At 54.7% G+C, this 11,910-nt stretch overlaps 1 protein-coding gene across 1 annotated transcript, besides 3 other annotated features; it reads left to right on the top strand.

The window, feature by feature from the left end:
* VWA7 (von Willebrand factor A domain containing 7) lies at nucleotides 172-11,910 on the top strand. Its single transcript, NM_025258.3, has 17 exons — nucleotides 172-391; nucleotides 706-954; nucleotides 1,258-1,536; nucleotides 2,071-2,167; nucleotides 2,874-2,984; nucleotides 4,063-4,258; nucleotides 4,377-4,546; nucleotides 7,387-7,499; nucleotides 7,709-7,825; nucleotides 8,297-8,482; nucleotides 9,746-9,878; nucleotides 9,986-10,138; nucleotides 10,250-10,342; nucleotides 10,736-11,037; nucleotides 11,116-11,255; nucleotides 11,443-11,617; nucleotides 11,730-11,910. The coding sequence occupies exons 2-17, from the start codon at nucleotides 721-723 to the stop codon at nucleotides 11,904-11,906; spliced, it is 2,676 nt and encodes an 891-aa protein (NP_079534.2). The 5' UTR covers nucleotides 172-391; nucleotides 706-720; the 3' UTR covers nucleotides 11,907-11,910.
* Nucleotides 4,314-4,608: an enhancer, noted in NCBI's record as "tiled region #4553; K562 Activating DNase matched - State 5:Enh". NCBI's record gives its function as "activates a minimal TATA promoter and a strong SV40 promoter by Sharpr-MPRA in K562 cells {active_cell/tissue: K562}" and the evidence as "EXISTENCE:reporter gene assay evidence [ECO:0000049][PMID:27701403]".
* Nucleotides 4,314-4,628: a biological region, named in NCBI's record as "Sharpr-MPRA regulatory regions 3149 and 4553".
* Nucleotides 4,334-4,628: an enhancer, noted in NCBI's record as "tiled region #3149; K562 Activating DNase unmatched - State 5:Enh". NCBI's record gives its function as "activates a minimal TATA promoter and a strong SV40 promoter by Sharpr-MPRA in K562 cells {active_cell/tissue: K562}" and the evidence as "EXISTENCE:reporter gene assay evidence [ECO:0000049][PMID:27701403]".

The following is an 11,910-nucleotide window of genomic DNA, read 5'->3' as shown; positions in this document are numbered from 1 at the left end:
TGGGGGCAGAGAGGGGAGCAGAGGGGCTGGGTGCCTGAATCCTTGGGGGCTGCAGGGTGGGAGTGAGGCCCTGGTTCTGGAGGGCAGAGGGGTGCGTCTATCTGGGTCTGTCCCTGGCACTGTGCCAGGCCTGAGTCACGCTGCTTACTCCCTTCCTCCTCCCCAGCTCTCACTCACCTCCGCACTGCAGCCAAGGGAGGCCCGCCCTGGCGTGGGCTGCTGCCTGTGGCTTTGGGCAGGCAGGAGCGAAAGGGCCAGGGGTTGCCTGTCCTCCCCCACCCTGTTGAGGCCTTCCTCCCCCTCTGCTGAGCCTCGGTTAATTATAACTCTGACCTAAGTGCCCTGTGACGTCAAGCCCGGGCCAGCCCTGCCCAGGAGACCCAGCAACCAGGTAGGGGAGGGCCTGAGAGGACTCAGGCTTCCTGAGCATGGGGAGTGTTTCTGCGGCAGGGCTGGGGACGCAGCCAGGGACTGGGGAGGGGGGCGTGGGGGAGGAACCTTGGACCCCTCTCCTGGCAGGTGTGTATGTCCCTAATGGTCCGATGAGGCCCTCAGGTTGTCTGGGTGACAGCGAGAGGGTGGGGAAGCCAGGCTGGAGCAGACACGACTTTTGAGGTAAAGCAGGTTCCCATGGAGACCCGCAGAGCCGGCCTGCCCTGGAATCGCGGCTGCTTCCTCCTCCCTTGAGAGCCTTCTGTCTCCCAGGTCCATGTCTCAGCCATGCTCCCCACGGAGGTCCCCCAATCCCACCCGGGCCCCTCAGCGTTGCTTCTGCTGCAGCTGTTGCTGCCCCCCACATCTGCCTTCTTCCCCAACATCTGGAGCCTGCTGGCTGCCCCTGGCTCCATCACCCACCAAGACCTAACTGAGGAGGCAGCGCTCAACGTCACCCTGCAGCTCTTCCTGGAGCAGCCACCCCCAGGCCGCCCCCCTCTTCGTCTTGAGGACTTCCTGGTGAGCATCCCAGGGTCCTGTCACACCCCTGCCAGAGTCCCCAATTCCATGGGGCCTCTACTCCTTGAGGGCTCTGGTTGCCAAGAGAAGAGACACCCATGGCCCCACCCCTGCAGCAATAATACCCAGTAGTCTTGGTCCTGAAATTAGGAGTCCCCCTCCTTAGAAAGGTCCGGGACTGTCCCTCCTTTGTGGGGCTCAGGACCCTCATACCCAGCCTTGAGTGTCAGTTGCTGAGATAAGGTGGGCAACAGTCAATCCAAAGGGCCTCCCTGGAGCCCCGTCGCCCGCTATTCTCCCCAGGGTCGAACACTCCTTGCTGATGACCTCTTTGCCGCCTACTTTGGACCTGGTTCTTCTCGGCGGTTCCGAGCAGCCTTAGGTGAGGTGTCTCGTGCCAATGCAGCCCAGGACTTCCTGCCAACTTCCAGGAATGACCCCGACCTGCACTTTGATGCTGAGCGACTGGGTCAGGGACGCGCGCGCCTGGTAGGGGCTCTGCGGGAGACCGTGGTGGCAGCCAGGGCCCTTGACCACACCCTGGCTCGCCAGCGCCTCGGGGCTGCACTTCATGCCCTGCAGGTGAGAACAGGGTTGGGTTGATGGTCAGAGGGGTCTTCACTTCCGTGCCTGTCCGGGATGGAGCGCGTCCTATGGTGCCTTCTTGATCATGTCTCCTCCACTCTGGAAGGGGTGGGCACTGGCACGCGGTGCCCCGAGGCTGTGTCCCAGTTCCCCACCTCCAAGCTGGCAGTGCTTCCTGTAGGAACAGCAAGGAGGGCGCTGTGGCTGGAGAGAAGTGAGGGTGAGAGAGGAAGGCTGCGAGGTCAGAGAGCTGAGGGAGCAGCACACGCAGCAGGACTCTGCAGGCCGAGAGAGGCCTTGGGTTAGACTCTGAGCTGGGAAGAGATGCTGGGACAGTTTCCACCTGGGCAAAGCTCTGCTCTGAGCAATGGAGAGAGGGCAGTGGAGGGGACTTGGGGTGTCTGGTGGGAGCAGTAGGGGTGGGAGGGGACTTTCGGGATGGGGAACTCAAAGGAGTGGCATATTAGTGCTGGAGATGGTGAGAAAGGCCAGACTAGTGCCTCACTCCCCTTCTCCTGTCCTCCGGACCAGGATTTCTACAGTCATAGCAACTGGGTGGAGCTGGGCGAGCAGCAGCCACACCCTCACCTCCTCTGGCCAAGGCAGGAGCTCCAGAACCTGGCACAAGGTATGGCTGTGACCCTGGTGGTGAGGCAGGAGTCCACAGGGCCACCTCAGTCCACCCAGCCACTGTGTCACATTCTGAAGTCCCAGAGGGTATGATGTTACTTAATCTCCACAAGGACTGAGGTCCCCCAGTCCAAGCAACGCCTGGCTCAGTTAAGCAGCTTCCCCAAGGTCACACAGGGAAAAGTAGCTAGGACCAGGTCTCCAGACCTCAGTCCCGTCTTAAGTGTGGCTTCCTCCCCGCACTGACTCCCATGGGGCCTTCTCTCACAGCCCCCTCACCCTCTCACCTGGAAGCTGCCTCCTGTCCACAACTCACAGAGGGCATAATCCCCATAGGATTGGTCCCTACACGTACTGTGTTTGTTTTTTTCTTATTATTTATTTATGTATTTATTTTTTAGAGATGAGGTCTCACTGTGTGGCGCAGGCTGCTCTGCCCGCCTTAGCCTCCTAAAGTGCTGGGATTACAGTCGTGAGCCACCGCACCCAGCCTGTGCTGTGTTTTCCAGCACAGCCCTAGTTTCAAACATTCAGGCTCACTGCGGGCCCATGATCCTAGGTTTTAGTTCAGAAAGCTTTGCTAGGGAACTTCTGGGTGTTCGCCTCATCCCAGCTGGGAGGAGAAGCTGAAAAGGTTTGGGTGGGTGGGGATAAAGGCTGGGGGTGGCAGAATCTTGGGTTCTAGCCCTGCCCTCTCTTCCCAGTGGCCGATCCTACCTGCTCCGATTGCGAGGAGTTGAGCTGCCCCAGGAATTGGCTGGGCTTCACACTCCTCACCTCTGGCTACTTTGGAACTCATCCCCCGAAACCTCCAGGTACCAGACAAGAAAGTTCCCCAGAAGTAAGGGGAGAAAGTCATTCCCTTACAGGATCTCTGTCCTGTAGGCCCGTATGCCTTTGCTATGGCATCTCCTCCTAGGAGGAGAGGATGCTGGGAACAGGGTGGGTGGAGGAAAGTCCCCTGAGGAGGCTGTGGTGGGGTTGAGGTAGGGGAGCAACTTCTTCCTCCGCTGATAGGATTTCTCCCTTGTCATAGGCAGTTTTGGGGGACTGGCTGGAGGGATCAGGGGATCCACCATGTGCTGTGGTGACTGACCACCACGCCCTAAGATTTACTCCAGAATTCCCCTCCACAAAGCACCATCCTTTTTATCCTTTTTTTTTTTTTTTTTTTTTGAGATGGAGTTTTGTTCTTTTTGCCCAGGCTGGAGTACAGTGGCACGATCTCGGCTCACTGCAACCTCCGCCTCCCAGGTTCAAGCGATTCTCCTGCCTCAGCCTCCCGAGTAGCTGGGATTACGGGCATGTGCCACCACGCCCGGCTAATTTTGTACTTTTAGTAGAGACAGGGTTTCATCATGTTGGCCAGGCTTGTCTCAAACTCCTGACTTCAGGTGATCCACCCACCTCAGCCTCCCAAAATGCTGGGATTACTGGTGTGAGCCACCGTGCCCAGCCATCATTTATTTATTTATTTATTTTTTGAGACCGAGTCTTGCTCTGCCACCCAGGCTGGAGTGCAGTGGCGTGATCTCGGTTCACTGCAACCTCCGCCTCTTGGGATCAAGCTATTTTCCTTCCTCAGCCTCCTAAGTAGCTGGGATTACAAGCACGCGCCACCACACCTGGCTAATTTTTATAGTTTTAGTAGAAACAGAGCTTCACCATGTTGGCCAGGCTGGTCTTGAACTCCTGATCTCAGATGATCTGCCGGCCTCGGCCTCCCAAAGCGCTGGGATTCCAGGCGTGAGCCACCGCGCCAACCCCGTCATCATTTCTTGCTGAACCCTTGCTGAGGGGTGAGAGGGTCAGGCCAGGCCTGAAAGGGCCTCATTTTCTTAGGAGGCAGTGGGTTTTTGACCTCCACTCTCCAGATCCCTTTCCCCAACCCAGGGAAATGTAGCCACGGGGGCCATTTTGACCGGAGCAGCTCCCAGCCACCGAGGGGAGGCATCAACAAGGACAGCACATCCCCAGGCTTCTCCCCTCACCACATGCTGCACCTCCAGGCTGCAAAACTGGCCCTTCTAGCCTCCATCCAGGCCTTCAGCCTTCTGCGAAGCCGCCTGGGAGACAGGGATTTCTCCAGGTGAGTGGCCTCCTGGGGATGGACCCCTTCATGGGGAGGCGCTCCTGCGGGAAGGGAGAAACCAGGCGCTGGGGACAAACGTGCAGGCCCTTCACTGTGTCTCTGGCTTGCTCCCCAGGCTGCTGGACATCACCCCAGCCTCCAGCCTGAGCTTTGTCCTGGACACCACGGGCAGCATGGGTGAGGAGATCAACGCTGCCAAAATCCAGGCTCGCCACCTTGTGGAGCAGCGGAGAGGCAGCCCCATGGAGCCTGTCCACTATGTCCTGGTGCCTTTTCATGACCCAGGTAAGTGTGGTCTGGCTAGGACAGTAGAGGGGAGGAAAATTCAAGGTAAGGGATAGACTGGGCGTGGTGGCTCACGCCTGTAATCCCAGCACTTTGGGAGGCTGAGGCAGGTGGATCACCTGAGGTCGGGAGTTTGAGACCAGCCTGACTAATATGGAGAAACCCCGTCTCTACTAAAAATACAAAATTAGCCGGGCGTGGTGGTGGGCACCTATAATCCCAGCTACTCGGGAGGCTGAGGCAGGAGAATCGCTTGAACCCAGGAGGCAGAGGTTGCGGTGAGCCCCGAGATCGTGCCTTTGCACTCCAGCCTGGGCAACAAGAGCAAAAAGCTCTGTCACAAAAAAAAAAAAAAAAAAAAAAAAAAAAGAAAAGAAAGAAAAAAAAAAGAAAAGATAAAAAGGTAAGGGATAAAGGCCTGTGGTGAGGAAGTGGGCTCGGGGTGGCACTTCCTGTAGTCCCGAGTGAGCCTCTACTGTGTGCATACAGAAAATTAGCAGCAACCTGGGTGGGGTGGCTCACACCTGTAATCCCAGCACTTTGGGAGGCAGAGGTGGGTGGATCGTTTGAGCCCAGGATTTCAAGACCAACCTGGGCAACACAGAGAAACACAGGTCTCTACAAAAAAATTAATAAAAATTATGTGTGGGTGTGGTGGCACATGCCTATAGTCCCAGCTACTTGGGAAGCTGAGGCAGGAGGATCACTTGAGCCCAGGAGACTGAGGTTGCAGTGAGCCGTGATGGCACTACTGCACTCCAGAGCGGCCTGGGTGACGCAGTGAGACCCTGTCTCTAAAAAAAAAAAAAAAGATAACTAGCAGACTTGCCTCCCACTCTTTCTAAAATGGCAGCACTTTCCATGAGTTTAATGCATGATTCATGCTTTGGCACGTGGCCTCTGCTTTCTTAGGCTTTCATGCTAATAAACCATTTTCTTTTTTTTTTTTTTTTTTTTTTTTTTGAGACGGAGTCTCGCTCTGTCGCCCAGGCTGGAGTGCCATGGCGCGATCTCGGCTCACTACAAGCTCCGTCTCCCGGGTTCACGCCATTCTCCTGTCTCAGCCTCCTGAGTAGCTGGGACTACAGGCGCCCGCCACCACGCCCGGCTAATTTTTGTATTTTTAGTAGAGACGGAGTTTCACCGTGTTAACCAGGATGGTCTCCATCTCCTGACCTCGTGATCCGCCCGCCTCGGCCTCCCAAAGTGCTGGGATTACAGGTGTGAGCCACCGTGCCCGGCCGCCATTTTCAATTCTCTCCATTTCCTATAGACAGAGATTGGTATCAAGATGGGGTTGTTGGGGCCAGGCTTCTGGGAAGCATCTGAGATAACTAGCTACATTGTATTCCTTTTCCATTGATTAGAAGTTAGACTCTCTGGCTTGAGTCTGACTGTGTGTCTTTAGGCTGGTCATGTAAACTTTCTTTGCCTCGATTTCATCATCTGTAAAATGGGTATCAGTTATCACATCAGGGTGGGGCAGGATGTTGGAATGTCATCAGTTAAGGCTATTTTCACTTCTTTTGTGGATCTTCAGTTGCTTCAGGCCATCTGGATGTATAAGTGCCAGTCACAGGGGATATGATTGGTTAGCTTGGGCTCAGAGGCCTGACACCTCCCTCATCCTGCCTAACTCCCAGAGTTGAAATGATGATCAAATAAAATGCCTACTGGACTGAGAGTTGCCTAAATTTGAGTCTTATTTGCCTGCATACATCCTACAGTGGCTGGCATTTAATAGACTTATTATGTTTGATGAAGATATAAATAAAGGTATAACTAAGAACTTAGCACTTATGTGTCAAAGCACTATCTTAAGATTTGCAAAATCAACTCATTTAGTCCTCCCAATAAACCTCTGAGGTAAGTGCTATTCGGTCTCTTTTCTTATGAGGAAACCCAGTTTTTTTTTTTCTTTTCTTTCTTTTTTTTTTTTTTTGAGAGAGAGAGAGGGAGAGTCTCACTCTGTCACCCAGGTTGGAGTGCAATGGTACAATCATGCCTCACTGCAGCCTCGATTCAAGCAATCCTCCTGCCACAGCCTCCTGAGTAGCTGGGACTACAGATGAGCACCACCATATCTGGCTAATTTTTGTATTTTTTTGTAGAGATGGGGTCTCACTATGTTACCCAGGCTGATCTCGAGCTCCTGGGCTCAAGTGATCCTCCCACTTCAGCCTCTCAAAGTGCTGGGATAATAGGTGTGACCATTTTTTTTTTTATATACGCACATGTAGCCAATAAAGGCCTACAGGAAATGCCACCATTTTTTTCAGGGAGTGGAGGCCACCTTCCCACCAGGGACACCTAGGTCTGCCCTGCCCTGCCCCGCCCTGCCCCGCCCTGCACTGACAAGTATGACTTTTTTTTTTTTTTTTTGAGATGGAGTCTGTCGCCAGACTGGAGTGCAGCGGCACGATCTCGGCTCACTGCAACCTCTGCCTCCCGGGTTCAAGTGATTCTCCTGCCTCAGCCTCCCCAGTAGCTGGGGAGGCTACTGGGGAGCCTCTGGGGAGGCTACTGGGGAGGCTACGGGCATGCATCACCATGCCCAGCTAATTTTTATATTTTTTAGTAGAGACGAGGTTTCACCATGTTGGCCAGGATGGTTTTGATCTCTTGACCTCATGATCCACCCACCTTGGCCTCCCAAAATGCTGGGATTACAGGTGTGAGCCACCGCACCCGGCCAAGTATGAGTCTTATAATGGAGTATTGTTATTTCAATACCTGTCGGCTCCAGAAGCACACCAGGCCCCTCAACTGGGGAGGTGGCTCTGGGTAAGAATGAGGGGAGCTCTTTCCTCACTTATCTTAACCTCCTTTCCCCTTCCCAGGGTTCGGCCCTGTCTTTACAACCAGTGACCCTGACAGCTTCTGGCAACAGCTTAATGAGATCCATGCCTTGGGGGGTGGAGACGAGCCTGAGATGTGCCTGTCAGCCCTGCAGGTCTGGCCCCTCCCTTCTTCCCCGTTTCCTGGCCCCACCACCAGGGGGAGCTAGATCCCTCCTGGGGCTCCCCACCACCTTCAGCACCTAGATCCACTAGCTTCACTGTAGGGTTCCCGGGCCATATTCCCTTCTGCTTCATCCTCCGTGGCTCTACCCATTCCCCTCCTACTGCCATTGTTAACACTGGTCGTTGCCTTCCCTGCCAGCTGGCCCTGCTGCACACACCTCCACTCTCAGATATCTTTGTCTTCACGGATGCCTCCCCCAAGGATGCCTTTCTCACCAACCAGGTGGAATCCCTGACTCAGGAGCGGCGCTGCCGGGTGAGCAGAGCTAGTGGGAGACCCAGTGTTAGCCTCCCAGGGATGTGAGAGACCCTGTGATGACAATCTCATAACGAGGGTTGCACCACACTATGGTGGCCCAACAAGCCTTGGTATATGGTGGGAGAAGCAGACAATGAGTGGAACATTTCCTGATACCTTTAATGATATACGTAAGAGGCCCTACCCTTAATAACGCTGAATTTTTATTTGACCCTGCCTAATAAACAATGTGAAGAACTGGGGCTCTAGTCGCCAAAAATCCACTGTGACAGTTACAAGGGGGTGGCCAACTACTAACTGAAGGCAGGGGGTTCTGTCATTGGGATTCCCCACCCCAGCAGCCAGAAGGCAGGCAGAGACCTTATCACAAACCATCAGCTCTGGAGAAAGCTTGAGCACAGGGATTCTCATTCATAATAGTGGATGGCACTTGGACACCCCAATCACTGAGCTCTCTTCTGGGTACAGGTAACATTCCTGGTGACTGAAGATACATCAAGGGTTCAGGGTCGAGCTCGGCGTGAGATCTTGTCCCCTCTGCGTTTTGAGCCATACAAAGCAGTGGCCCTGGCCTCAGGAGGAGAGGTGATCTTCACCAAAGACCAGCACATTCGAGACGTGGCAGCCATTGTTGGGGAGAGCATGGCTGCCCTGGTAAGTGGGGGCCAGGGCCCTCACTTAGGAACTGAAGGGTGGTCAGGCTGCACCTCTCTTCTTATAGGAGAAAGGGGAATCACTCTCACTGCTGTGTTGTTCTTCCAGTCACGGGGCAGGAAAGGAAGTTTCTCTTCCTCTTAGATCCATGACTAGCCACTTCTTTTTTTTTTTTTGAGATGGAGTCTTATGGTCACCCAGGTTGGAGTGCAGTGGCACAATCTCGGCTCATTGCAACCTCCACCTCCCGGGTTCAAGGGATTCTCCTGCCTCAGCCTCCCAAGTCGCTAGAGTTACCAGTGCCCACCACCAGGCCTGGCTAATTTTTGTATTTTTTTAGTAGAGCCGGGGTTTCACCGTTTTTTTGGCCAGGCTGGTTTCGTACTCCTGACCGCAAGTGATCCGCCTACCTTGGCCTCCCACAGTGCTGGGATTACAGGCGCGAGCCACCACGCCTGGCCTGCATTGTCCTTTTATATCAGTAAACCTCTCCCCACTTGGCTTCCAGTATTCTGCCTCCAGGGTTACCACAGGAAGTCCTACCATCTTTTTGGGGAGGTGGCTTGTATTTTGCAGAGACAGAGTCTTGCTATATTGACTAAGCTGTTCTTGAACCCCTGGCCTCAAGTGATCCTCCTGCCTTGGTCTCCCAGGTGCTGGGATTACAGACATGAGCCACCACGCCTGGCCTATCATCTTTTAATGGGGCACAAGATGTGATTGTCTCATCCTGAATCCCTTGCCTCCAACTTTGTCTCTGACCATAATAACTTCATCCCTGGCCCCGTGCCCCTCTCTTACTGGTATCCCTTTCTGCCTGTTTGACGTGGTTTCTTTCTTTTTTCTTTTTCTTTCTTTTTTTTTTTTTTTTTTTTTTTGAGACAGAGTCTTGCACTGTCGCCCAGGCTGGAGTGCAATGGTACAATCTTGGCTCACTGCAGCCTCTGCCTGTTGGGTTCAAGCGATTCTCCTGCTCCAGCCTCCCAAGTAGCTGGGATTACAGGAGCCCACCACCACACCTGGCTAATTTTTTGTATTTTTTTTTTTTTAGTAGAGATGTAGTTTCACTGTGTTGGCCAGGCTGGTCTCGAACTCTTGACCTTGTGATCCACCCGCCTCAGCCTCCCAAAGTGCTGGGATTACAGGCGTGACCAACTGCGCCCGGCCCAATGACGTGGTTTCTTTCTATCTCCCCTTTCTTCTTTGTTCCTCATCCCATACCTCATCTTCTTCCCCATTTTCTGGTCCTGCCAATCCCTCAAGGTGACTCTTCCCCTGGACCCTCCTGTTGTGGTGCCTGGGCAGCCACTTGTGTTCAGCGTGGATGGGCTGCTCCAGAAGATCACAGTCCGGATCCACGGAGACATCAGCAGCTTCTGGATCAAGAACCCTGCAGGTACCTCTGAAGGTAGAGGGAAGAGAGGGGACCGGGGAATAGACAATCGAGGGGATGTACTCAAGGAGAGCAAGTGCTTCATGTGACAATCTCTTCCCTGACCCCAGGGGTCTCCCAGGGCCAGGAGGAAGGCGGGGGTCCTCTAGGTCACACTCGCCGCTTTGGGCAGTTCTGGATGGTGACCATGGATGACCCTCCACAGACAGGAACCTGGGAGATCCAGGTCACAGCTGAGGACACCCCTGGGGTGAGAGTGCAAGGTAAGGAGGGAGGTGTTCCTGGGAAGGGGAAGCAGAGACTGCAGGCCTCAGAGAACACGATCAGTCACATTCCTTTCAGGAAGGGCTCTGACTGCCTTTGCCCTTTCCCAGCCCAGACCTCCCTGGACTTCCTCTTCCACTTTGGGATCCCCATGGAGGATGGACCCCACCCTGGCCTCTACCCCCTGACTCAGCCAGTTGCAGGTACATTTATTCCCTGAGCCCCCACCCACCTAACCCCCAGTTTTATATATATATATAAAATATATAATATATAATATATATATTATATATATAATGTATATATGTATACATACATCTGTGCATATGCATAACTTTTATATTGAGTTATAATTTACATAATGTGCACTAAAGTGTACAGTTTGATGGATTTCATATAATACACCCAGTTCAGGATATAGAACATTTCCAGCACCCCAGAACTCCCTCCTGATGCTCCCCATCAATACCCCTCGAAGGTAACCTATTTTCCCATCCATACTCCCCAGAGGGAACCCCTATTTTGAAGGCCATTAATTCTTTTCTCCCTGTGTCTCCGAATCTCACAATGTTCTCCCCTCCTCGCCCCTGTCCCAGGTCTTCAGACCCAGCTGCTGGTAGAAGTGACAGGGTTGGGTTCCAGAGCCAATCCTGGGGATCCTCAGCCGCATTTCTCCCACGTCATCCTTCGAGGGGTCCCAGAGGGTGCCGAACTAGGCCAGGTGCCCTTGGAGCCCGTGGGACCTCCGGAGCGAGGTCTCCTCGCAGCCTCGCTGTCGCCCACGCTGCTGTCCACCCCTAGACCCTTCTCCCTGGAGCTGATTGGCCAGGACGCAGCGGGGCGGCGCCTGCACAGGGCTGCCCCTCAGCCTAGCACTGTAGTCCCTGTCCTTCTGGAGGTGAGACGCCAGGGGAAAGTGCGGCTGGGGCTGGAGAGAGTTAGAGCGGCCCCTTCCCTGAAGAACCCTTCTCTGCAGCTTAGTGGCCCCTCGGGTTTCTTGGCCCCGGGCAGCAAAGTCCCGCTCAGTCTCCGCATCGCCAGCTTCTCGGGCCCTCAGGATCTTGACCTTAGGACTTTCGTCAACCCCAGCTTCTCCCTCACCTCCAACCTCTCCAGGTGAGGCTCATGAACCCTCCAGCTCCCTCTGGCATCTTGCCCGGCCAATGCTTATCCCAAGCCCTGCCCCTGTCCCCCTCCGACTGGCCCTCAGAATCCTCCTCTCCGCTCCCGTGCCCCTGCAGGCGTCCCGACTCTAGGCTCTGGGCAGCCTGGAGCTTTAGCGACGCCTATATCCTCTCTCCAGGGCTCACCTGGAACTGAATGAGTCGGCCTGGGGCCGCCTGTGGCTGGAGGTCCCAGATTCAGCGGCCCCGGATTCCGTGGTGATGGTGACTGTGACTGCAGGGGGACGAGAAGCCAACCCAGTACCCCCGACTCATGCTTTCCTCCGGCTCCTGGTATCGGCCCCAGCCCCGCAGGTGAGGAACCACTACTTTCCATCACAGGGTGGGCAAGGCCGGGGAGGGTGGTGTAGGTTTAATTTGAGTACAGCTCTAGCACACCCTGTCATTCTCTTCCTTTTCCCCACAGGACCGGCACACCACCCCTACCGGCTCATCTGACCCGATCCTCACCACGGCCACCCCTGCCTTTTCCCCCTTCACATTGGTGACTCAAGGCAGGGCTGGGGCAGGGCTGGCTGCGGGCAGCCCCTGGTGGGGCACAGTTGGAGGGGTGCTGCTTCTGCTAGGCCTGGCCTCCTGGTGACACA

The sequence above is a fragment of the Homo sapiens genome, chromosome 6 (assembly GCF_000001405.40).
Source record: "Homo sapiens chromosome 6, GRCh38.p14 Primary Assembly".
NCBI classification, from domain to species: Eukaryota; Metazoa; Chordata; class Mammalia; order Primates; family Hominidae; genus Homo; species Homo sapiens.
Note: the sequence above shows the minus strand (reverse complement) of the source record. Positions and strands in the feature narration are given on the sequence as shown.